The sequence below is a fragment of the Homo sapiens genome, chromosome 10 (genome assembly GCF_000001405.40).
Source record: "Homo sapiens chromosome 10, GRCh38.p14 Primary Assembly".
Classification (NCBI taxonomy): domain Eukaryota; kingdom Metazoa; phylum Chordata; class Mammalia; order Primates; family Hominidae; genus Homo; species Homo sapiens.
The window spans coordinates 106,835,525-106,863,011 of NC_000010.11; the positions used below are offsets into that span (position 1 = coordinate 106,835,525).

Sequence of the window (27,487 nt, forward strand, 5' to 3'; positions counted from 1 at the left end):
CAACATTTTAAAAATGTAGCATAATTTAGTCTATCATATCTTGAAGGATATGTGCTAGTAGTTTTAGGTGGTACTTGGATCACAGAGTTAATGGTAAGAACTGGAATATAAGCAATAAAGATTCCACACTCTGCTTCTATAATAATTATGTCACAATTCCATTTCTGAATAGACCATTATGCTTAAAAATCCTAACAGAAGCCGGGTGTGATGGCTCATGTCTGTAATCCCAGAACTTTGGGAGGCCGAGGTGGGTGGATCAACTGAGGTCGGGAGTTTGAGACCAACCTGACCAACATATAGAAGCCCCATCTCTACTAAAAATACAAAATCAGCCGGATGTGGTGGCTCATGCCTGTAATCCCAGCTACTCAGGAGGCTGAGGCAGGAGAATCGCTTGAACTCGGAAGGCGGAGGTTGCAGTCAGCTGAGATCGCGCCATTGCACTCTAGCCTGGGCAACAGGAGCGAGACTGCGTCTAAAAAAAAAAAAAAATCCTAACAGACAACATCATAACAACGAATGCTCTTTGAGTACATACAATGTTATCTGAGCTCTTCACATGTAGAATCCTATGAGATGGACACTGATATTAATATCACATGTTACAAATAAGGAAGACTAAAAAGTGTAACTAGCCTGCTTAAGACTACAGAACTTGGGAGGTGCGCCGGGCGCAGTGGCTCACGCCTGTAATCCCAGAACTTTGGGAGGCCGAGGCGGGCAGATCACGAGGTCAGGAGATCGAGATCATCCTGGCTAACACGGTGAAACCCCGTCTCTACTAAAAATACAAAAAATTAGCCGGGCATGGTGGTGGGCGCCTGTAGTCCCAGCTACTCGGGAGGCTGAGGCAGGAGAATGGCGTGAACCCAGGAGGCGGAGCTTTGCAGTGAGCCGAGATTGCGCCACTGCACTCCAGCCTGGGCGATAGAGCGAGACTCGGTCTCAAAAAAAAAAAAAAAAAAAAGATCTTGGGAGGTGCTGAGTGCGCACTGGCCAGCATCCTTAACTCCATACTGCCATGCCTCTGTCAAAAGCCACCGGGAGAAATCTGCAGTTAAGGAGATGTATTCAGAAAACCTAGTTGAGCATTTTTTGGTAAAAGAAACATTAACTAAAACTCTTTGAGGTTGTATATGGTGTAGACCAAAGCCTGGCTTTTCTTTATACCTATTAAAAGGCAGACCTGCCAGGGAAAATTGATTAAATAAAAAAAAAAAAAGTATAAGCAGAAACTCTCACAAGGATCTATGAGGAAAAGAAGGTATATCCTTTATCTGATCCAGCCTGACTCCTGTGAAGGCTGAAAATATGGACAAAGTGATTGGGCTCAACCAGTTAATGACTTGATGATGCCTCATTAAGATTAGCAAGATATCTCAGTCTAATAGAAAAAGCAAGTTCTTGAAGCAAAACACAACTGGAATTAGTCACTCACTGTTACCCACTGCAGTGCCTACATGTATTAGTTGGACTCCTAGCCCACTTATGTTGCCCAGTGCAATGCCAATACGTCAAAACTAGATTCCTATTCAGCTTTAACTCTGCTTATTTTTAGCAAACAGGATGTCTGTGGTCAGGAGTTCCTTCTTAGAAATAAACCAGCTGAAGTTAGCAAAATCCAAAACTGCAGCTTACTCAACCTCTGAAGAACTTCTAGCTTCATTATAATCCAATTTCCATGCTGAATGACACTCCCACCAGTATCATGACAGTTGACAGTCACCATGACAATGACTGGAGCAGACCAAGAAAAAATAGAAAAGAGGCAGCTCCTTGATTCCAGGAAAGTCTCACTCCCTTCAAAAGAAAAGCATAAATATTCCTCCCCTTGCTCTTCAACCCAACCCCCTATGTTAAAGATACCCTGTATTTGTAACTGCCTGGTTCTCAGGAGCTGGGAAATTAATTTATGAGCTATGTTCCCACTTCTCCAATTCCATGATGATTGAATAAAGACAGTACTGCTTGACACTCACTTTCAGTTTTGTGTATTGGCTTTTGCAACACCAAACAGGAAAAAGCCCCCTTTGGGGTAACTGAGACCCCCAATAACATCACTATCTAGTAGGCGGTCAGTGCCCTGGTTTCTACAACAAATAAATCTCTCAGTACTCCACAGAATTTCATGTATAATTTGCATTCCAATTGTCACCTAATAGGATTGCAATATAATTGTGAGCTGCCTGATACCCAATCCCTCTCTTTTCTCTGCCTCCTCCCAACTCCACTCACATTCCAGTCTTGTCCCTTCACTTGGAAAGGTTTTTTTCCAGATACCTAATAGACAACTGTCTTATTGCTTTCTGAACAATGCTCATGTTGTATGAAGTGACAGCCTCCCTCACCCACCCCTCAGCACACTCTGCCCTTCCTAGGTGCTTTTATTTTCTGTTCACAATATTTATCCCCATCTGATAGATTTTTACTTATTTTTATTGTGTCTTTCTCCATGGGAACAGGGCTGATGTCTGTTTTGTTCACAGATGTCTTCCTAGCACTCAGAACAGCGCCCTGGGCACAGTAGGCACTATTTGCTTTTGACTACTTGCTAGCCTGATGGAGGCTTGCTTTTCTTGTGTTACCCAGTGGACTTCCATGAAATAAAAATTGAGAAGCTCATATGGTTTGGCAAGGACTTTTGGCTACAATAGCCCCTGCTGTTAGAAGATAAAATCAGCCGTGTGGAAAGAAGGGACACTAGGGTGGTGACTCGGTTCTATGCCCTCTACTTTTTTTAAATTAATAACCTTGATTTTTAGAGCAGTTTCAGGTCCACAGCAAAACAGAGTGGAAAATAAGTAGTTCTCATATAGCCCATCCCTACACATGCATAGCTTTCCCCATTATCAATATCCTCCTTCAGAGTGTTACATTTGTTACAATCAAAGAACCTATAACGAAGGATAATGATTACCCAAAGTCCACAGTTTACATTAGGGTACATTCTTGGTGTTATACATTCCATGGGTTCTGACAAATGCATAATGACATGTATCCACCACTTGACATCATAGAGAATAGTTTCACTCGGTCAAAAATGCTTGGTCCTCTTCCTATTGATTCTTCCTATTCCCCTAACCCATACTAACCACTGATCCATTTACCCTCTCCATAGTTTTGCCCTTTCTAGAATGTCATATATAGGCATACCTTGTTTTATTGCACTTTATTTTACTTTGCAAACATTACATTTTTTACAAATTGGAATTTTGTGGCATCCTGCAGGGAGCAAGTCTATTGGTGCCATTTTTCCAACAGCATGTGCTCACTTCATGTCTCTGTGCCACATTTTGGTCGTTCTTGCAATATTTCAAACTTTTCCATTATTATCGTATCTGTTATGGAGATCCGTGATCAGTGATCTTTGATGTTTCTATTATAATCATTTTGGGGTGCCCTGAACCATGCCCATGTAAGATGGCAAATTTAATCAATAAATATTATGTATGTTTTGACTGCTCCAACAACCAGCTATTCCCTATCCCTTTCTCCCTCCTTTTCTTTCCTCCCACCCCTCAGGCCTCCCTCTTGCCTGAGATAAATGATATTGAAATTAGGCCAATGAATAACTCTACAATGTCTTCTAAGTGTTCAAGTGAAAGGGGGAGCTGCATTAAATAAAAAGCTACAAATGATTAAACTTGGTGAGGAAGGCATGTCAAAAGGCAAGACAGGGCAAAAGCTGGGCCTCTTGTGTCAAACAGTCAAGCTGTGACTGCAAAGAAAAAGTTGTTGAAGAAAATTAAAAGTGTTACTCCACTGCACACAAGAATAAGAAAGTCAAACAGGTTTATTGCTGATATGGAGAAAGTTTTAGTGGTCTGGCTAGAAGATCAAACCAGCTACAACATTTCCTTAAGCCAAAACATAACCCAGAGCAAGGCCGTAATTTTCCTCAACTCTATGAAGGCCAAGAGGTGAAGACGCTGTGGAAGAAAAGTTTCAAGCTAGCAGAATTTGGTTCATGAGGAAAAAAGCCTTCTCTATAACGGGTAAGTGCAAAGTGAAGCAGCAAGTGCTGATACAGACACTGCATCAGGTTATACAGAAAATCTAGCTAAGATCATTGATGAAGGTGGCTACAGTAAACAGCAGATGTTCAATGTAGAGGAAACAACATCCAATCAAAAGACGATTCCATTAGAATTTCAAAGCTAGAGAGAAGTAGCCAATGCTGGCTTCAGAGCTTTGAGGGACAAGCTGACTTTCTTGTTGGGGGCTAATGCAATTGGTGACTTTCAGTTGAAGTCAATGCTCTTTTATCTTTCTGAAAATCCTGGAGTCCATAAGAATTATCCTAAATCTATTCTCCTTGTGCTCTATACATGCAGCAATGAAGTCTGAATGATAGCACATCTGTTTACAGCATGGCTTATTGGATATTTTAAGCCCATTATTGAGACCTATTGCTCAGATAAAAAGATTCCTTTCAAAATATTACTGCTCACTGATAATGTACCTAGTCATCCATGAACTCTGATGGAGATGTACAAGGAAATGGATGTTGTTTTCATGCCTGCTAACACAACATCTATTCTGTACTCCATGGATCAAGGAGTAATTTTAATTTTTAAGTAGTATTATTTAAGAAATACACTTTGTAAGGCTACAGCTTCCATAGATAGTGATTCCTCTGAAAGATCTGGGGGCAAAATAAATTGAAAACCTTTTGGAAGGGATTCACCATTCTAGAAGCCATTAAGAACATTCATAATTCATGGGAGGAGATGAAAATACCAACATTCATAGGAAGTTGGAAGAACTTAATTCCAATACTCATGGATGACTTTGAGGGGTTTGAGACTTAAGTGGAGAAAGTAACTGTACATGTGGTGACCATAACAAAAGAATTAGAAGTGGAGCTTGAAGATGTGAGTGAATTGCTGTAATCTCATGATCACACTTGAACCAATGAGGAGTTGCTTCTTATGGATAAGCAAAGAATGTGGTTTCCTGAAATGGAATATATTCCGGTGAATGTGGTGTAAACATTGTTGAAATGACAGCAAAGAATTTAGAATATTAAATAAACTTAGTAGATAAAGTAATGGCAGGATGTGAGAGAATGAACTCCAATTTTCAAAGAAGCCCTACCATGTGTAAAATGATATCAAAACAGTATTGCATGCTACAGAGAAATTTTTCATGAAAGGAAGAGTCAATTCATGTAGGAAACTTTATTGTTATTTTATTTTAAGAAATTGCCAGAGCCACCTTAATCTTCAGCAAATATCAAGGCAAGACCCTCCACCAGCAAAAAGATTATAATTCACTGAAGGCTCAGATAATAATTCACATTTTTTAGTTATATTATATATATATATATATATATATTTTTTTTTTTTGGATGGAGTCTTGCTCTGTCGCCAGGCTGGAGTGCAATGGCATGATCTTGGCTCACTGCAACCTCCACCTCCCAGGTTCAAGTGATTCCCCTACCTCAGCCTCCCGAGTAGCTGGGACTACAGGTGCACGCCACCATACCCCGCTAATTTTTTGCATTTTAATAGAGACGGGGTTTCACCATGTTGGCCAAGATGGTCTAGATCTCCTGACCTCATGATCCGCCTGCCTCGGCCTCCAAAAGTGTTGGGATTACAGGCATGAGCCACCCTGCCCAGCCATAAAATATTTTTGATTAAAATATGTACATTGGTGGCCAGGTGCAGTGGCTCACGCCTGTAATGCCAGCACTTTGGAAGGCTGAGGAGGGCAGATCACTTGAGGTCAGGAGTTTGAGACCAGCCTGGGCAACATGGTGAAACCCCATCTTTACTAAAAATACAAAAACTAGCCTGGTGTGGTGGCATGCGCCTGTAATCCCAGCTACTCGGGAGGCTGAGGTGGGAGAATTGCTTGAACTCAGGAGGTGGAGGTTGAAATGAGCCAAGATCACAGCACTGCACTCCAGCCTGGGCGACAGAGTGAGACTCCATTTCAATAAAATACACACACACACACACACACATTGTTTTTCTAGACATAATGCTATTACACACTTAATAGACTGTAGTATAGTATAAACATAACTTTTATATGCACTGAGAAAGCAAAAATTCATTCACTTGCTTTATTGTGATATTTGGTTTATTGCAGTTGTCTGGAATCAAATCCACAGTATCTGAGGTATGCCTATAGTTGAAATCATACAGCATCTAGCCTGTTCAGATTGGCTTCTTTCACTTAGTGATATACATCTCAGCTTCCTGCATGCCTTTTCATGGCTTGATAGCTTTTTTTCTAAGTGTTGAATAATGTCCCTTTGTCTGGGTGCACCATAGTTTCCAGTCACCTACTGATCTCAGTAAATCTCAGTTGCTTCCAAGTTTCGACAATTATAAATAAAACTTCTATAAACATCCATGTGCAGAATTTTGTGTAAACATGTTTTCAACTCCTTTGGGTAAATATCAAGGTATGTGATTGCTGGATTGTATATTGAGTATATTTGTTTTGTAAGAAATTGCCAAACTGTCTCCCAAAGTGACTGTATCATTTTGCATTCTGACCAGCAGTGAATCAGAGTTCCTGTTGTTTCACATCCTTGTGGGCATTTGGTGTTCTCAGTGTTTTAGATTTTGCCCATTTTAATAGGTGTATAGCAGCGTATCATTTTTTTTATTTGTAATTCCCTAAAGACATACGAGGTTTAACATATTTTATATGCTTACTGGACATCTGTATATGTTATTATTTTATTATTTTATTTATTTTTGTTTTTTGAGACACAGTCTCACCTTGTCACCCAGGTGGAGTGCAATGGCATGACCTTGGCTCACTGCAACCGCCATTTCCCAGGTTCAAGTGATTCTCCTGCCTCAGGCTCCCGAGTAGCTGGGACTACCCTTGTGCACCACCAGGCCCGGCTAATTTTTGTATTTTTAGTAGAGACAGGGTTTCGCCATGTTGGCCAGGCTGGTCTCGAACTTCTGACCTCAGGTGATCTGCCCACCTCAGCCTCCCAAAGTGCTGGAATTACAGGCGTGAGCCATTGTGTCTGGCCTATTCTTTCATGAGATGTCTGTTCAGGCTCTTTGTCATTTTTAAAAAATGGCTTTAAATATAAATTTCTTAATGTTGAGTTTTCTCTGTTTTGTGTTTTTGAGATGGAGTTTCGCTGTTGTTTCCCAGGCTGGAGTGCAATGGCGTGATCTCAGCTCACTACAACCTCCGCCTCCCAGTTTCAAGCAATTCTGCCTCTGCTTCCTGAGTAGCTGGGATTGCAGGCATGTGTCACCATGCCCGGCTAATTTTGTATTTTTAGTAGAGATGGGGTTTCACCATGTAGGCCAGGCTGGTCTTGAACTCCTGATCTCAGGTGATCCACCCACCTCAGCCTCCCAAAGTGCTGAGATTACAGGCATGAGCCACTGTGCCTGGCCCTTACTGTTGAGTTTTAATAGTTATGTGCATGTGTGTGTATGTATTTCCCCAATTTACTGATACGATTGACAAATGTAATTGTATTTAAGGTATACAATATAATGTTTTCATATAGGTATACATTTTGAAATAATTACCACAATCTACTTAATTATATGTCCATTACCTCAAACATTAACTGTCTGTGTGTTTATGCAGTGAGAACACTTGAGTTCTCTAGGAGCATATTTCAAATATGCTTTGCATTAACTAGAGTTACTATGTTGTAAATGAAGTATCCTGAACTTATTCATCCAATAGTGAAAAGTTTTTATGCTTTGACTCATATTTCCACTTTCTCCCAACCCCCAGCCACTAGTAACCACCACTCTACTCTCTGTTACTATGAGTCTGGCTCTTTTATAGATTCCACATGTAAGTGAGATCATGCATCATTTGTCTTCCTATGTCTGGCTTATCTCACTTAGCATAATGTTTTCCAAGTTAATTCATGTTGCGGTAAAAGGCAGGATTTCCTTTTTTTTTTTTTTTTTTGTGATGGAGTCTCGCTCTGTTGCTCAGGCTGGAGAGTGCAGTGGCGCGATCTCGGCTCACTGCAAGCTCCGCCCCCCAGGTTCACGCCATTCTCCCACCTCAGCCTCCCAAGTAGCTGGGACTACAGGCATCTGCCACCACGCCCAGCTTATTCTGTTTTTGTATTTTTAGTAGAGACGGGATTTCACCGTGTTAGCCAGGATGGTCTCCATCTCCTGACCTCGTGATCTGCCCACCTTGGCCCCCCAAAGTGCTGGGATTACAGGCGTGAGCCACTGCACCCAGACAAGATTTCCTTTTTCTAAGGTTGAATCATATTCTACTGTATATATAATACATTTTCTTTATCCATTGATTTCTCAGACACTTAGGTTGTTTCCGTATCTTGGCTATTGTGAATAATGTTGCAATGAACACAGAAGCACCAGCTATCTCAAGATAGTGATTTTATTTCCTTTGGATATGCACCCAGGAATAAAACTGCTGGATCTATATGGAGCATATTTAAACTTTTAGGAGCCACCACATTGTTTTCCATAGTGGCTGCATATTTACACTCCCACCACAAGTGTACAAGGGTTCCCTTTGCTCCACATCACTTGTTATCTTTTGATATTTTGATAAAAAACATCCTAATAGTTGTAAGGTGATATTTCATTGTGGTTTTAACTTGCATTTCCCTGATATTAGTGATGTTGAACATCTTTTCATATACTATTGGCTTTTTATATGCCATCTTTGGAAAAATGCCTATTCGTGTTCTTTGCCCATTTTTAATCAGGTTTTTTGTTTAATTTTGCTATTTACTTGTATAAGTTTCTTATATATTGTGATGATTGTTTCTTTGCTATGCAGAAACTTTTTTGATTAATATATTCCCACATTTTGCTTTTGGTGTCTGTGCTTTTGGTGTCAAATTAAAATAAAATCATTTCTAAGACCAATATTGAGGAGATTTTCTTCTATGTTTTCTTCTAGGAGTTTCATGGTTTCAGGACTTATGTTTAAGTTTTTACTCAATTTTTAATTGATTTTCATGTATGATATAAAATAAGGATACAATTTCATTCTTTTGCAGGTGAATGTCCAGTTTCTCCAACACCATTTACTGAATTTCTTTTTTTTTTTAATTATTATTTTTTTTAAATTATACTTTAAGTTTTAGGGTACATGTGCACATTGTGCAGGTTAGTTACATATGTATACATGTGCCATGCTGGTGCGCTGCACCCACTAACTCGTCATCTAGCATTAGGTATATCTCCCAATGCTATCCCTCCCCCCTCCCCCCTCCCCACCACAGTCCCCAGAGTGTGATATTCCCCTTCCTGTGTCCATGTGATCTCATTGTTCAATTCCCACCTATGAGTGAGAATATGCGGTGTTTGGTTTTTTGTTCTTGCGATAGTTTACTGAGAATGATGGTTTCCAATTTCATCCATGGCCCTACAAAGGACATGAACTCATCATTTTTTATGGCTGCATAGTATTCCATGGTGTATATTTGCCACATTTTCTTAATCCAGTCTATCATTGTTGGACATTTGGGTTGGTTCCAAGTCTTTGCTATTGTGAATAATGCCGCAATAAACATACGTGTGCATATGTCTTTATAGCAGCATGATTTATAGTCCTTTGGGTATATACCCAGTAATGGGATGGCTGGGTCAAATGGTATTTCTAGTTCTAGATCCCTGAGGAATCGCCACACTGACTTCCACAATGGTTGAACTAGTTTACAGTCCCACCAACAGTGTAAAAGTGTTCCTATTTGTCCACATCCTCTCCAGCACCTGTTGTTTCCTGACTTTTTAATGATTGCCATTCTAACTGGTGTGAGATGATATCTCATAGTGGTTTTGATTTGCATTTCTCTGATGGCCAGTGATGATGAGCATTTTTTCATGTGTTTTTTGGCTGCATAAATGTCTTCTTTTGAGAAGTGTCTGTTCATGTCCCTCGCCCACTTTTTGATGGGGTTGTTTGTTTTTTTCTTGTAAATTTGTTTGAGTTCATTGTAGATTCTGGATATTAGCCCTTTGTCAGATGAGTAGGTTGTGAAAATTTTCTCCCATGTTGTAGGTTGCCTGTTCACTCTGATGGTAGTTTCTTTTGCTGTGCAGAAGCTCTTTAGTTTAATTAGATCCCATTTGTCAATTTTGGCTTTGGTTGCCATTGCTTTTGGTGTTTTGGACATGAAGTCCTTGCCCACGCCTATGTCCTGAATGGTAATGCCTAGGTTTTCTTCTAGGGTTTTTATGGTTTTAGGTCTAACATTTAAATCTTTAATCCATCTTGAATTGATTTTTGTATAAGGTGTAAGGAAGGGATCCAGTTTCAGCTTTCTACATATGGCTAGCCAGTTTTCCCAGCACCATTTATTAAATAGGGAATCCTTTCCCCATTGCTTGTTTTTCTCAGGTTTGTCAAAGATCAGATAGTTGTAGGTATGTGGCGTTATTTCTGAGGGCTCTGTTCTGTTCCATTGATCTATATCTCTGTTTTGGTACCAGTACCATGCTGTTTTAGTTACTGTAGCCTTGTAGCATAGTTTGCAGTCAGGTAGTGTGATGCCTCCAGCTTTGTTCTTTTGGCTTAGGATTGACTTGGCGATGCGGGCTCTTTTTTGGTTCCATATGAACTTTAAAGTAGTTTTTTCCAATTCTGTGAAGAAAGTCATTGGTAGCTTGATGGGGATGGCATTGAATCTGTAAATTACCTTGGGCAGTATGGCCATTTTCACGATATTGATTCTTCCTACCCATGAGCATGGAATGTTCTTCCATTTGTTTGTATCCTCTTTTATTTCCTTGAGCAGTGGTTTGTAGTTCTCCTTGAAGAGGTCCTTCACATCCCTTGTAAGTTGGATTCCTAGGTATTTTATTCTCTTTGAAGCAATTGTGAATGGGAGTTCACTCATGATTTGGCTCTCTGTTTGTCTGTTGTTGGTGTATAGGAATGCTTGTGATTTTTGTACATTGATTTTGTATCCTGAGACTTTGCTGAAGTTGCTTATCAGCTTAAGGAGATTTTGGGCTGAGACGATGGGGTTTTCTAGATAAACAATCATGTCGTCTGCAAACAGGGACAATTTGACTTCCTCTTTTCCTAATTGAATACCCTTTATTTCCTTCTCCTGCCTGATTGCCCTGGCCAGAACTTCCAACACTATGTTGAATAGGAGCGGTGAGAGAGGGCATTCCTGTCTTGTGCCAGTTTTCAAAGGGAATGCTTCCAGTTTTTGCCCATTCAGTATGATATTGGCTGTGGGTTTGTCATAGATAGCTCTTATTATTTTGAAATACGTCCCATCAATACCTAATTTATTGAGAGTTTTTAGCATGAAGGGTTGTTGAATTTTGTCAAAGGCTTTTTCTGCATCTATTGAGATAATCATGTGGTTTTTGTCTTTGGCTCTGTTTATATGCTGGATTACATTTATTGATTTGCGTATATTGAACCAGCCTTGCATCCCAGGGATGAAGCCCACTTGATCATGGTGGATAAGCTTTTTGATGTGCTGCTGGATTCGGTTTGCCAGTATTTTATTGAGGATTTTTGCATCAATGTTCATCAAGGATATTGGTCTAAAATTATCTTTTTTGGTTGTGTCTCTGCCCGGCTTTGGTATCAGAATGATGCTGGCCTCATAAAATGAGTTAGGGAGGATTCCCTCTTTTTCTATTGATTGGAATAGTTTCAGAAGGAATGGTACCAGTTCCTCCTTGTACCTCTGGTAGAATTTGGCTGTGAATCCATCTGGTCCTGGACTCTTTTTGGTTGGTAAACTATTGATTATTGCCACAATTTCAGCTCCTGTTATTGGTCTATTCAGAGATTCAACTTCTTCCTGGTTTAGTCTTGGGAGAGTGTATGTGTCGAGGAATTTATCCATTTCTTCTAGATTTTCTAGTTTATTTGCGTAGAGGTGTTTGTAGTATTCTCTGATGGTAGTTTGTATTTCTGTGGGATCGGTGGTGATATCCCCTTTATCATTTTTTATTGTGTCTATTTGATTCTTCTCTCTTTTTTTCTTTATTAGTCTTGCTAGCGGTCTATCAATTTTGTTGATCCTTTCAAAAAACCAGCTCCTGGATTCATTGATTTTTTGAAGGGTTTTTTGTGTCTCTATTTCCTTCAGTTCTGCTCTGATTTTAGTTATTTCTTGCCTTCTGCTAGCTTTTGAATGTGTTTGCTCTTGCTTTTCTAGTTCTTTTAATTGTGATGTTAGGGTGTCAATTTTGGATCTTTCCTGCTTTCTCTTGTGGGCATTTAGTGCTATAAATTTCCCTCTACACACTGCTTTGAATGCATCCCAGAGATTCTGGTATGTTGTGTCTTTGTTCTCGTTGGTTTCAAAGAACATCTTTACTTCTGTCTTCATTTCGTTATGTACCCAGTAGTCATTCAGGAGCAGGTTGTTCAGTTTCCATGTAGTTGAGTGGCTTTCAGTGAGATTCTTAATCCTGAATTCTAGTTTGCTTGCACTGTGGTCTGAGAGATAGTTTATTATAATTTCTGTTCTTTTACATTTGCTGAGGAGAGCTTTACTTCCAACTATGTGGTCAATTTTGGAATAGGTGTGGTGTGGTGCTGAAAAAAATGTATATTCTGTTGATTTGGGGTGGAGAGTTCTGTAGATGTCTATTAGGTCCGCTTGGTGCAGAGCTGAGTTCAATTCCTGGGTATCCTTGTTGACTTTCTGTCTCGTTGATCTGTCTAATGTTGACAGTGGGGTGTTAAAGTCTCCCATTATTATTGTGTGGGAGTCTAAGTCTCTTTGTAGGTCACTCAGGACTTGCTTTATGAATCTGGGTGCTCCTGTATTGGGTGCATATATATTTAGGATAGTTAGCTCCTCTTGTTGAATTGATCCCTTTACCATTATGTAATGGCCTTCTTTGTCTCTTTTGATCTTTGTTGGTTTAAAGTCTGTTTTATCAGAGACTAGGATTGCAAGCCCTGCCTTTTTTTGTTTTCCATTTGCTTGGTAGATCTTCCTCCATCCTTTTATTTTGAGCCTATGTGTGTCTCTGCACGTGAGATGGGTTTCCTGAATACAGCACACTGATGGGTCTTGACTCTTTATCCAACTTGCCAGTCTGTGTCTTTTAATTGGAGCATTTAGTCCATTTACATTTAAAGTTAATATTGTTATGTGTGAATTTGATCCTGTCATTATGATGTTAGCTGGTGATTTTGCTCGTTAGTTGATGCAGTTTCTTCCTAGTCTCGATGGTCTTTACATTTTGGCATGATTTTGCAGCGGCTGGTACCAGTTGTTCCTTTCCATGTTTAGTGCTTCCTTCAGGAGCTCTTTTAGGGCAGGCCTGGTGGTGACAAAATCTCTCAGCATTTGCTTGTCTGTAAAGTATTTTATTTCTCCTTCACTTATGAAGCTTAGTTTGGCTGGATATGAAATTCTGGGTTGAAAATTCTTTTCTTTAAGTATGTTGAATATTGGCCCCCACTCTCTTCTGGCTTGTAGGGTTTCTGCCGAGAGATCCGCTGTTAGTCTGATGGGCTTCCCTTTGAGGGTAACCCGACCTTTCTCTCTGACTGCCCTTAACATTTTTTCCTTCATTTCAACTTTGGTGAATCTGACAATTATGTGTCTTGGAGTTGCTCTTCTCGAGGAGTATCTTTGTGGCGTTCTCTGTATTTCCTGAATCTGAACGTTGGCCTGCCTTGCTAGATTGGGGAAGTTCTCCTGGATAATATCCTGCAGAGTGTTTTCCAACTTGGTACCATTCTCTGCATCACTTTCAGGTACACCAATCAGATGTAGATTTGGTCTTTTCACATAGTCCCATATTTCTTGGAGGCTTTGCTCATTTCTTTTTATTCTTTTTTCTCTAAACTTCCCTTCTCGCTTCACTTCATTCATTTCATCTTCCATTGCTGATACCCTTTCTTCCAGTTGATCGCATCGGCTCCTGAGGCTTCTGCATTCTTCAGGTAGTTCTTGAGCCTTGGTTTTCAGCTCCATCAGCTCCTTTAAGCACTTCTCTGTATTGGTTATTCTAGTTATACATTCTTCTAAATTTTTTTCAAAGTTTTCAACTTCTTTGCCTTTGGTTTGAATGTCCTCCCGTAGCTCAGAGTAATTTGATCGTCTGAAGCCTTCCTCTCTCAGCTCGTCAAAATCATTCTCCATCCAGCTTTGTTCCGTTGCTGGTGAGGAACTGTGTTCCTTTGGAGGAGGATAGGCGCTCTGCGTTTTAGAGTTTCCAGTTTTTCTGTTCTGTTTTTTCCCCATCTTTGTGGTTTTATCTACTTTTGGTCTTTGATGATGGTGATGTACAGATGGGTTTTCGGTGTGGATGTCCTTTCTGTTTGTTAGTTTTCCTTCTAACAGACAGGACCCTCAGCTGCAGGTCTGTTAGAATACCCTGCCCTGTGAGGTGTCAGTGTGCCCCTGCTGGTGGGTGCCTCCCAGTTAGGCTGCTCGGGGGTCAGGGGTCAGGGACCCACTTGAGGAGGCAGTCTGCCCGTTCTCAGATCTCCAGCTGCGTGCTGGAAGAACCACTGCTGTCTTCAAAGCTGTCAGACAGAGACTTTTAAGTCTGCAGAGTTTACTGCTGTCTTTTGGTTTGTCTGTGCCCTGCCCCCAGAGGTGGAGTGTACAGAGGCAGGCAGGCCTCCTTGAGCTGTGGTGGGCTCCACCCAGTTCGAGCTTCCCGGCTGCTTTGTTTACCTAAGCAAGCCTGGGCAATGGCGGGCGCCCCTCCCCCAGCCTCGCTGCCGCCTTGCAGTTTGATCTCAGACTGCTGTGCTAGCAATCAGCGAGACTCCGTGGGTGGAGGACCCTCCGAGCCAGGTGTGGGATATAGTCTCGTGGTGCGCCGTGTTTTAAGCCGGTCTGAAAAGCGCAATATTCGGGTGGGAGTGACCCGATTTTCCAGGTGCGTCCGTCACCCCTTTCTTTGACTCGGAAAGGGAACTCCCTGACCCCTTGCACTTCCCAGGTGAGGCAATGCCTCGCCCTGCTTCGGCTCGCACACGGTGCGCGCACTCACTGGCCTGCGCCCACTGTCTGGCACTCCCTAGTGAGATGAACCCGGTACCTCAGATGGAAATGCAGAAATCACCCGTCTTCTGCGTTGCTCACGCTGGGAGCTGTAGACCGGAGCTGTTCCTATTCGGCCATCTTGGCTCCTCCCTGATGCCTTTCCTTTCTAGGAGAGAGAAAGGCATTCCCAAGACACCCAAGAGCCTCTATTTGGTAAGGTCTCCTTTACAAATGTGTATGTATCTCAAGCTCACAATATTCCTCAGAGCTCCAATTACCTATGTCTAACTCATTTTTGACACCTTCATTTGGATGCCTCATGGGAATAGATTTCAAATCTATCAAGTCCAAAAAGGAGTCATTTCCACCCTGCCCTCATCTCCCCTGCCACCCACCACACACACGCCCTACGGCCCTATTCTAGGCCTAGGAGTCTACCTATCAGTAAAACATCACTATCTTCTAGCCAATTGCAAAAAAACACAGAAACTTGGAGTCATTTTTGTTCCTGTCCCTCATCTCTCACATGCAATCCAACAACAGGTCCCAGTGTTCTACCATATCTCCACTGCCACTACCTTAATCCTAGCCACCTGCACCAGCTAGCTTGAAACCTACTGAATTTCTTTGTATATTGTATATGACAGGCCTTCATCAGATAGGTCTTTTATAATTTTTTCCCAGTCTGTGGCTTGTCTTCTCATTCTATTGGTATTATCATTCTCAGAGTTTTAAAATTTAATGAAGTCTGGATTACCCATTTTTTTCATAGATTGTGACTTTGGTCTTGTATGTAAAAAGTCATCACCATATCCAAGGTCATTTAGGTTTTCTCCTAGTTATCTTCAGGAGTTTTATAGTTCTGCATTTTACATTTAGGTCTATGATACATTTTGAGTTAATTTTTGTGAGGGCTGTAAGGTCTGTGTTCAAACTTCCTTTTATTTGTATTTATTTTTGCCTGTGGGTGTCCAGTTGTTTCAGCACCATTTGTTGAAAAGACTTTTCCTCATTGCATGGGCTTTGGTCTTTTGTGAAAGATCAGCTGACTATATTTATATTGTTCTATGTCTGGGCTCTCTACTCTGTTCCATTGATCTATGTATCTGTTCCTTCACACAATAACAAACTGTCCTGATTACTACAAGTTTATTGTAAGTCTTGAAGTCAGGCAGTGAGTGCTCCAATTTTGTTTCCTTCCCTTACTACTCAGTTGACTATTCTGGGTCTCCTACATCTCCATATAAACTTTAGAATTATTTGTCAACATCCACAAAATAACTTGCTACATTTTAATTGAGATTGTGTTGAATCTATAGATCAAGTTGAGAAGAACTGACATCTTGGCAATATTGAGTCTTTCTGTCCATGGATATGGAATATCTTTTCATTTACTTAGTTTTTTAACATCCTTTATCAGAGCTTCATAGTTCTCCTCATACAGATCTTGTGTGCGTATGTTGTTAAATTTATGTCTATTTTCTTTTTTGGTATGCTAATGTAAATGGTAATGCGTTTTTAATTTCAAATTCTGCTTGTTTGTTACTAGTGTATATTACTTTTGTATATTAACCTTATATTGTACAATCTTGCTACAATTACTTATTAGTTTTTTCATTGTTGTTGATTCTCTAAGATTTTATACATAGATGCTTCTGTCTCTGCAACAAAGATAGTTTTATTTCTTCCTTTTCAATCTGTATAACTTTTATTACCTTTTCTTGTCTTATGGTATTAGCTAGGACTTCCAGCTAAAAAACAGTGGTGAGGAGATATTCTTGCCTTGTTCTGATCTTAGTGGGAAAACTTTCGAGTTTCTCACCACTAAGTAAGATGCTAGCTGAAGGTATTTTGTAGATGTTTCTTGTCAATTTAAGAAAGTTTCCTCGGCTGGGTGCGGTGGCTCACACCTGTAATCCCAGCACTTTCGAAGGCTGAGGCAGTCGCATCACAAGGTCAAGAGATCAAGACCATCCTGGCCAACATGGTGAAACCCTGTCTCTACTAAAAATACAAAAATTAGCTGGGCATGGTGTTGCACGCCTGTAGTCCCAGCTACTCAAGAGGCTGAGGCAGGAGAATCACTTGAACCTGGGAGGTGGAGTTTGTAGTGAGCTGAAATCACACCACTGCACTCCAGCCTGGGTGACAGAGCGAGACCCTGTCTCAAAAAAAAAAAAAAAAAAAAGAAAGAAAAGAAAAAGAAATTTCCCGCTATCCTTAGGTTGCTGAGAGTTTTTACCATGAATTGGTATTAAGTTTTGTTATTTTCCCTCATCTATTGGTATATTATGTGATTTTATTTAGCCTGTTGATGTGATAATTACATTAATTGATTTTTGAATATTAAACCAGCTTTACATATCTTGGATAAACCCCACTTGGTCATGATGCACAATTCTTTTCAAACATTATTGGATTGAGGGGTTTTGCATCTTTGTTCATGAGAGATAATTGTCTGTAAGTTTGCTTTTTTCTCCTAATGTCATTGGGTGGTTTTTGATATTGGAATAATACCAGCATCATGAAATGAGCTGAGAAGTATTCCCTCTGCTTCTGTATTCTGCAAGAGTTTGTAGTAAATTGGCATAATTTATTTCTGAAATGTATGGGAAAATTCACCAGTGAACTGACTGTGCCTGGTGCTTTCTGTTTGGAAGATTATTAATTATTGATTCAATTTCTTTAATAGTTACAAGCCTATTCAGATTTCTACATTTTCTTATGTGAGTTTTGGCAGATTGTGTCTTTCAAGAAATTGGTCCACTTCACCTATGTTATTAAATTTGTGGGTAGAAAAGTGTACATAATAGTCCTTTATTGTCTCTTTAGTATCCATAGGATCTGTAGTGCTCTCTCCTCTTTCATTTCTGACATTAGTATTTTGTGCTCCCTCTCTTTTTTCTTAGCCTGGCTAGAGGCTTATCCATTTTCTTGATTTTTTTTTTTTTCCAAAAAAACAGGTTTTGGTTTTGTTGATTATCTATTTTCAGTCTTGTTGATTTATGCTCTAATTTTTTATTATTTCTTTTCTTCTGCTTATTATCAATTTAATTTGCTCATTTTTCCCTAATTTTCTGAGGTGGGGGTTTAAATTATTGATTTCATATTTTTTCTTTTTAAATATACACTTTCAACATTGTAAATTTCCCTCTAAGCATGGCTTTTACTGCATCCTACAAACTTTAATTAATTTTATTTTATTTTCCTTTACTTCAAATTATAGTTTCTCTTGAGATTTTTTCTTTGATCGATGTGATATTTAGAAGCATGTTGTTTAATCTCTGCTTATTTTGAAAATTTTCAGCTATTTCTTTTATTGATTTCCAGTTTAATTTCATTGTGGTTGAAAAACAGACATTGTATAATTTCTATTTGCTTCAGTTTGTTAAGGTGTGTTTTATGGTTCAGAAAGTGGTCTGTCTTAGCAAATTTTCCATGTGATCTTGAGAAGAATGTGTAATCTGTTGGTGTTAGGTGATATTGTCTAGAGATATCAATTTTACCCTGTTGGTTGATGGTGTTGTTGAGTTCAAATATGTCCTTATAATTTTTGCCTACTAGATCTGTTCATTTTTGAAAGACGATGTTAAGGTCTCCAATTATAATAATGACTTCATCTTTACACTTGCAGTTCTAATCAGTTTTTGCCTCATGTATTTGGACACACTCATGTTAGGCATGTGCATATTAAGGACTCATGTCTTCTTGGCATATTGACTCCCCTTTATCATTATGTAATGCCCCTCTTTACCCTGATAATTTTCTTTGCTCTGAAATCTGCCCTGTGTAAAATTAATATAATGACTCCAAAGACCTTCTAATTAGTGTTAGCATGGTATATCATTCTCCATCCATTTACTTTTAATTTGAATGTATCTTTGTCTTTGAAGTGGGTTTCTTGTAGACAACATATAGTTAGGGCTTGTTTTTCTCATCCACTCCATCAATCTCTGTCTTAATTGGTATATTTAGGCCACTGACATTTAAAGTGATTATTAATATAGTTGGATTATTGCCTATCACATTTTTACCATTTTCTTTTTGTTTCCTTTATTCTTTGTTCCTATTATCTTTCACATGTTTTCTGTCTTTTGTGATTTTAATTGAGCATTTTATACGAATTTATTTTCTCTCCTTTCTTAGCCTATTTGTTTTCCTCTTCTTTTTCACTCTTTTTAGTACTTGCTGTAGAGTTTGCAATACATATTTACCACTAATGAAGTTCACTTCTAATAACAACACACTACTTCATGGGGAGTGCAGGCACTCTGTCATAACAACTTATTCCTAATTCTCCTTCCCAATTCTTGTATTATTGATGTCATTCATTTCACCTGTACATAAGCATACCTAAGTGTGTATGTGTGTGTGTATATATATACATGAGCATACGTAATTGAATACATTGTTGCTATTATCTTGAAGAAAGTGGTATCTGTGAGATTACTACTCAGAAGAATAAAGGTTTTTGTGGTACATTCACTTATTCATTCTGATGCTCTTCTTTTCCTTACATAGACTTGAGTTTCTATCCTGTATCATTTTCCTTCTCTCTGAAGAACTTCTTTTAACATTTATTTCAAAGCAGGTCTACCAGTAACAAACTTCCTCAACTTTTGTCCGTCTGAGAAAAGTCTTTATCTCTCCTTCACTTTTGAAAGATAGTTTTGCAGGGTACAGAATTCTTGATGTTTTCCATTATTTTTTCCTCTCAGCACTTTAAATATTTCATCCCACTCTCTTCTTGCCTGTATAGATCTGAGAAGTCAGATGTATTTTTCATCTGTGCCTCTTTACAGGTAGGTGTTCCCCATTCTGCCTTAAAAAAGTTTTTTTTAAATCTTTGATTATCTGAATTTTGAATATGATATACCTATGTGGGGTTATGATGGTTTTTGTGGTTGTTGCTTTGTTTTTTGACATTTATCCTGCTTAGTGTTCTCTGAGTTTTCTAGATCTGAGGTTTGGTACATTATTTTGCAGAAATTCTCAGTTATCATTGCTTCATACATTGCTTGTTTCTTTCTCTTTCTTTCCCTTCTGTTATTCCCACTATACATATATTACACTTTTGTAGTTGCCCCACAGTTCTTGCTCTGTATTTGCACTTCGATGGTCTTTTTTTAAGTTTTGGAAGTTTCTGTTGAGGCATCATCAATTTCAGAGATTCTTTTCTCAGCCATGTCCAGTCTACCAATGAGCTCATCAAAGGCATTCTTCATTTCTATTACATGGTTTTCATCTCTAGCATTTCTTCTTGATCTTTTCTTAGAATTTCCATCTCTCTGATGACATTATCCATCTGTTCTTCCATGTTGTCTGCTTTTTCTATTAAAGCCCTTAGCATGTTGATCATACATTTATAAAAATTATCGGTTTTTCTAATTCTGATATTCCTATCATATATGACTCTGGTTGTGATGCTTGTTTAATCTTTAGAAACTGGATTGTTTGCCTCTTAGAATGCCTGAACAGCTGACATGAGGTACTAGGTAAAAGGAACCATAGTCAATAGGCCTTTAGTTGTGTGATGGTAATACGGGGAAGCGAAGAGGGAGACACAACATTTTTTTTTTTTTTTTGAGACAGAGTCTCGCTCTGTCACCCATTCTGGAGTGCCGTGGTGCAATCTCAGCTCACTACAACCTCAGCCTCCCTGGTTCAAGCTATTCTCCAGCCTCAGCCTCCTGAGTAGCTGGGATTACAGGCATGCCTCACCGCGTCCAGCTAATTTTTGTATTTTTAGTAGACACAAGGTTTCACCATATTGACCAGGCTGATTTCGAACTCCTGACCTCAGGTGATCCACCCACCTCGGCCTCCCAAAATGCTGGGATTACTACAGGCGTGAGCCACCCCGCCCAGCCAGGCAAAACATTCTTTAGTTCTATGATTAACTCTCAGATTTTTTGGGAGTCTTTGCCCCTGGAATGTGAACTTTACCAGTGCTTCTCACATTTCTTCCCTGCTTAGGTGGAACATAATAGCTAGAGGAAGTTGCAGTTGCTTATTTCCCTTCCCCCTAGTCAGTTATGGTCTGACAGATCCCCAGCAGGTGAGGCTCTGTTAACTAGTTTCTCCTGAGGGCAGGTCTTGTTAAGACAGAATGCTCTGGCGTATTTCAAAATGGTTACTTTTGCCCTCTCCCTGCTGGAAGTACGAAGGTAAGTTCCCCCACCAGTTGTCACTGTGGGGAGCTGGTAAAGCTCCTGGAGGTAAAACTCACAAAAGTATGAGGGCCTCTCTGATTAGGTCCCCACGAAGTTCTTAACTCTCAGACATGTCCACACTGAGCCTCCTGCAAACCATCAACTACTGTTTAAGTTTTTGTAACTTAGCACTGGTTCCTGTGGAAGTTTCTGCTTGTTGAGTTTCTGCTCAGGTAAATTGTGATTTGCTGTGTCTGACTGTTGGTCTTTCCAATTCGGGGGACAGCATTTGTCCTGTGACTTCACTTGTAGGATGATCTGAACAGAGTTGTTAATTGTTCAGTTTCTTTAGCTTTTAACTTGCTAGGAAAATGGACAAACTGTGAACTTCTTACATGCTGGACCAGAAACCAGGAGTTCACCTCTCTTCCTTCTGATCAGAAAATCTCTGCCTGGCACCCATCTCCTGATTACTCTAAGTGCCCTGAAAGCAGTGAACATATCTTTGTTCACCCCCAGATCCCCAGTCCCCAGGACAGTGCTGGCACAATCAGGTGGCTTCTCCACATGAAGGGTGAATGAATGCCTAATGGGCACGTACTGAACCAGGGATGAGCCAAGCTGCTCCTTCGGTAAGGCTTTAGAAAGCATACAGATATCCTGCCCATCTCCTTCCCTACCCAAAACCCCACAGACGGAAGATGCCTTATTTCAGAAACACAGAGCCATACTGCCAAGGTCACAAAGCAAAGACTCAGGCTATAGAGGGAAGCTTGGGCACAGGAAGCATCAGGGCATTACTCAAATCACTGCCAACAAGATGTCCTGAAAGCGGAACAGTGTTCACCTCTAAATCAAGCAGCTGCAGCGTCTGTGTTTTGTTTCTTTCTTAAAATCATTAAGAGCAGCCACTTCCATTGCTCCTAGTGCATTTGGTGGCATAAAAATAGCTCCGAAAGCCAAGGGCGCATTGGGTGCATCACAGACTCTGCTCCTTAATAACTTAGGATGCATGAGGTTAAAGCAGTGAGAATAATTTAGGGTTTGGAAAATGTTTGCGAGTGAGTCGACATTTAAATAACTTCATTATCATTCATTGACAGATTTTTTTTAACCTGTCAGTGCAACTGATATTTCTATTACCATGTTATAACAAACCCCTGCACATTTTAAATACAGTCACTGGATTCCACTAGTCTACCCACTGTCAAGAAAATATCTTCAAATCCATTTTTCATAATACCTCAAGAATATAATAGGCAATCTACATCAAACGATGACGTGGAGCTGAAGGAAATTGTCTCCTGCTTTCTAAGGAATCTGCCCCGAAATACGTTTGCCTGTCAGCCTAAACATATAATTCAAATGTGCTGCCGAGACATTATGGTGCATTCTGAGCTGAATGAGCTTCCCTCTCTTTCCTGGATTCCCTGAACCTTTCAGCGTAACTTGCAGAATTAGCTAAGGGGATTAAACAGTAGGTTAAGGGGAAGTCATGTAAAATTGACATAAAAATATTTCCATTCTGTCATGTATCACAGAATTTTTAATATCACATCAAAAGCTTTTATTCTTTAAATATGTTACTTTTATGTTAATAAGGGATAGAAGTTCTCATCTATCTAGCAGTCTGTTCCATTTTTCTTCTCCTAATTATATCTTTATTCTGTGTTCTTGATGTTTCTAGTCATACAGATCCGGTGAGATAAGAAATTTGGGTGCATTTGGCTGGGCGCAGTGGCTCACGTCTGTAATCCCAGCACTTGGGGAAGCCGAGGCAGGCGGATCACGAGGTCAGGAGATTGAGACCATCCTGGCTGACAAGGGGAAACCCCGTCTCTACTAAAAATACAAAAAAATTAGCTGGGTGTGGTGGCAGGCACCTGTAGTCCCAGCTGAGGTAGGAGAATGGTGTGAACCCAGGAGGCGGAGCTGGCAATGAGCCGAGATTGCACCACTGCACTCCAGCCTGGGAGACAGAGCAAGCCTCTGTCTCAAAAAAAAAAAAAAAAAAAGGAAAGAAAAATTTGGGTGCATTTGATTGGGGTTGTGTGCAGACAGTGACTTTTCTGCTGTAGGTTACCCTTACCACTGACATGTCTGCTGGTTTATTTTTGAGTATAAAAGTAACTTACATTGGCCCTGATACCTGGATCTCTATTTTGCATAAGAAAGGGCAAAGTAATTTAAGCAGAGGTCTCCTGTTCATCTTTTTAGGAGCAAATTGGAGTACTATCCTTCACTAGATGATGTCCATGACATCCTTCTTATACAAACACACAGTTGTCTGTGCCCAATGTATCCAATATGTACCATCCATTCTAGTTCTTACTGCCATTCCTAGGGCAGGCCATCACTATTTCTGCTGTGGCTAGAACTTGTTGCAGTAGTCCAGGTAAATTTACTAGCAGCTCCCCCTCACAGATGCGGCCTCTCTCATACCTCCATGTCTTTGCAAAGGCAATATCCACTGCTAAGCAGACAAGCTGGTACTGGTGAGGAGGGCATAGGGCACGTATTCCTTCTCATCTTTTAACATTCTACTCCACAGTTTTCTTCCCAGGGATGCCACTCCTGACCATGCCAATCAACTAGCAGTCAGCCTTTGTTCTTTCTTCCATGACAACCCAGATTCCCTGGCATTGTATCGTTGTTGTCAATGCTCACAGTTGTCTGTGCTAATAGACTGCATTTTCTAAAGGCAGGGATAGACAATAATTTATCCTTTCACTCTTCTTTCAGCCGATCACAATTCATTCATACACTTCAAGGCTGGAATCAAATATCCTTTCTTTTTTTTTGAGACTGGGTCTCACTTTGTCACCAGGCTGGAGTGTGGCGGCGCGATGTTGGCTCACTGCAAGCTCCGCCTCCCGGGCTCAAGCGATTCTCCTGCCTCAGCCTCCCCAGTGGCTGGGACTACAGGTGCGCACCACCATGCCCAGGTAATTTTTGTATTTTTAGTAGAGACGGGTTTTACCATGTTGGCCAGGCTGGTCTTGAACTCCTGGCCTCAAGTGATCTGCCCACTTTGGCCTCCCAAAGTGCTGGGATTACAGGCATGAGTCACTACCGGCCAATATCCCTTCTTTCATTGAACCTTTTCACATCCCTCTGCTGAATGGAATGCCTCTCTCCTTTATACTGTATGTGATTTATTTGAATCTCTCCTTATTGGCCTTTATATGCTGCCATGTATTACATTTACATGCGTTTGATCTCGCTTACCAGATGGCCATCTACTAGGAGCAAAATGCATTTATGCTTACTCTTCTGTATCTCTCTCCACCATTTAGCTGCTTCTTACAATCCAGAAGGTGCTCAGTGTTGCTAGGTTGAACCGAACACACTATCCTGTAAAGTTCTCCTTTATCACCAGAAAATTCAGTTTGAAAAATTTCACATTTGGGTTTTGCATTTCCTTTTGGAGGGTTTGGGAGCAAGAAAACTTCAGGGCTTCCAGCTGAGTTTGTGTTGGGTAGGAATAATTATGAGACATAAATATAAGAGAGATTAGTGACTCACTAAGGAAGAACTCATACAAATGCATATGCAAAATGTATTATATATCAGTTTGTTTAAATGTCTATAAATACAGCTATGGAAAATAAAATATCCATTTGTCAGTTATAAGGGTAAAGATAAATTTGGGAGGAGAGCAACTTATCTTTTTAGCTTTGTGACATGTTCTATCTTTTGATACAACCCCAATCTCCAGGTACTTCTAGTCTGACAGGTAGAGCATCCTTCATCACACTGGGGTCAAATCTTCATAGGCTGCATTACCCTACACTCCTGAATTATGCGGTTTATGAATAACAGTGAACATTTATTGAATGCTTAAGATACCACACACTGGGCTAAGCACTTCATAAGGATTACCTCACTGAGTTCTCTAACATCGCACGAGTTAAGTACTGGTATGATCCACATTTTACAGATGAGGAGACCAAGACTTAAGGAAGATGATCAGCTTGCCCAATGCCACATAGGAGTGATGAACATGGCCTAGATTCAAACTCAGGCAGTTAGGCTCCAAAGTCAGCATGCTTAATACAGAGATATGGTGAATTGTCCATTTAAATAGGGTACTATTCGTAGAATGATGGCAGTGTGTCTGAAAAAGAATAGATTTTTCCTAATGGAGCTCCCAGAACTTACATCACCTGCCTTCCAAACAACGAACCACTGCTGTTTGTAATATTGGCGAGTTGTCATCCTAAATTCAATTTTTTATTAGAATGAGGATCCTTAATCCAAGCTTCTAGTAAACTAGTTCAACTGTATTAAAGGTAACAGGGATTACTGCAGACTTCCCCCCAGTTGTGAATGCACTGTACTTGAAATGAAATGGCATACATACACACGTCCTTTATCTTAGAGCCCTTGTTAGAAAATGAATTGGAGCTCCAATTCTGCCAATGTGTTTCACTCTCTTCTCACACGGTACTCAGTTGGCTGAAGACGCAGTGTTATTGTCCCGACTTAAGAATATGCAAAAATAGGCCAGGTGCAGTGGCTCATGCCTGTAATCCCAGCACTTTGGGAGGCCGAGGCAGGCAGATTGCCTGAGCTCAGGAGTTCGCAACCAGCCTGGGCAACAAGGTGAAACCTTGTCTCTACTAAAATACAAAAAAAATTAGCCAGGCATGGTGGCATGTGCCTGTAGTACCAGCTACTTGGGAGGCTGAGGCAAGAGAACTGCTTGAACCCAGGAGGCAGAAGTTTCAGTGAGCCAAGATCGCACCACTGCACTCCAGCCTGGGGGACAGAGTGAGACTCCGCCTTAAAAAAAAAAAAAAAAAAGAATATGCGAAAATAAATAAAATACTTACCAAATGAAGTCAATGTTACTTGGCTCTCCTAGCTTTTCCATCAAAACATACATATGCAAATTATGAAAAATGTATTCTAGAAGGACAAGCTACGAAACATATAGCAGTGACAATGGAATTTACTTGATCCCTTAAATTTAAAATGGTTCAAATACCCTCAATTGGCCGGGCGCAGTCCCTCACACCTGTAATCCAAGCACTTTGGGATGCCAAGGCAGGTGGATCACGAGGTCAAGAGATCAACACCATCCTGGCCAACATGGTGCAACCCCATCTCTACTAAAATACAAAAATTAGCCAGGCGTGGTGGCATGCACCTGTAGTCCCAGCTACTCGGGAGGCTGAGGCAGGAGAATCACTTGAACCTGGGAGGCAGAGGCTGCAGTGAGCCAAGATTGTGCCACTGCACTCCAGCCTGGTGACAGGGCGAGACTCCATCTCAAAAAAAAGTGTAAGCTGTCCTCTAGGTGTCATAGTATAATGTCAGCTTGTTAGGTTTCTTTCTTTTCTTCACCATAGATGATGAGATTTTCAGTCTCATAAGATACATGTTTAACTGAGCTTTTGTTACCTTTAGTTTTCCAAAGGTTGAATGAGGTAAAAAAATGAGTAAATCAATTCCTCATCTGTAATTGGAGACAACTGGACCAGCTGATCTCTAGCTTTGACTCTAACATTTAAGAATTCCAGTATCAGGGAGTTTTAGGGAACTGAACATCTATAGTGAAACCTATTACACACGTGAAAAGTTAAACTTATGGATAAATATCATCCCCAAATCACTGGAGACATTCAGGGTCAGAGTGTCAGGGTGAACGCACATCTTCTTTGTGTATTACATCCTGTCTGTTTTCTACTTAATTTCTTGAAGGGTGAAATAATTGATGCTATCCAGAAAACATATGCTTGCCTATTTGTGCATATCATTACAATGTCTTTTAATATCACCATTTATTTTGTCCCTACCCATTACTTTGAGGAAACCTAAAAATCCTAGAAAATTAGAGCTTCAATGACATTTAGAAATAATCTCATCTCTCTTCAATGTTTTTTTTAAGTGGCAGAAGAGTTTACGCCCAAGTTAGTCCTCATTAAAACACCTGTTCTCCATTTCACCCCCGACCCAACACACACAGTTTACCTTCCTTATTAACTGTTTCACACTTTCATACAATTTCATAGGATCAATAAAATAGTTTTCATATAATAAAAAGTTTGGCTGGGCGCGGTGGCTCGCGCCTGTAATCCCAGCACTTTGGGAGGCCGAGACAGGCGGATCATGAGGTCAGGAGATCAAGACCATCCTGGCTAACACGGTGAAACCCTGTCTCTACAAAAAAAAAAAAAAAAAAAAAAAAAAAAGTTTCAGCATTCTGATTCTGCAGATGAAGTAGCTGAGACTTAGATTAAAGTAAGTCAAGCATTTAGTTGAGACCAAAGTCATGAAAAGAATCCAGGTTTTCTGATTCTCATGGTAAGATATTTCTTAGAATTATACATTGTCAAATATGCAAAGGCACCTTCAACTCGTCGATTAAAAAAATTTTGTAAAGTCTATCCATTTT

At 40.1% G+C, this 27,487-nt stretch overlaps 1 protein-coding gene across 16 annotated transcripts in view, besides 1 other annotated feature; it reads right to left on the reverse strand.

The window, feature by feature from the left end:
- SORCS1 (sortilin related VPS10 domain containing receptor 1) overlaps positions 1-27,487 on the reverse strand; it is a 607,476-nt gene that overhangs the window by 261,862 nt on the left and 318,127 nt on the right. The gene's annotated exons all lie outside the window — the stretch shown is intronic.
- Positions 14,809-15,395: an enhancer, noted in NCBI's record as "H3K27ac-H3K4me1 hESC enhancer chr10:108610091-108610677 (GRCh37/hg19 assembly coordinates)". NCBI's record gives its function as "activates a minimal SCP1, AML or CMV promoter by ChIP-STARR-seq in naive H9 embryonic stem cells {active_cell/tissue: H9 hESC(naive)}" and the evidence as "EXISTENCE:reporter gene assay evidence [ECO:0000049][PMID:30033119]".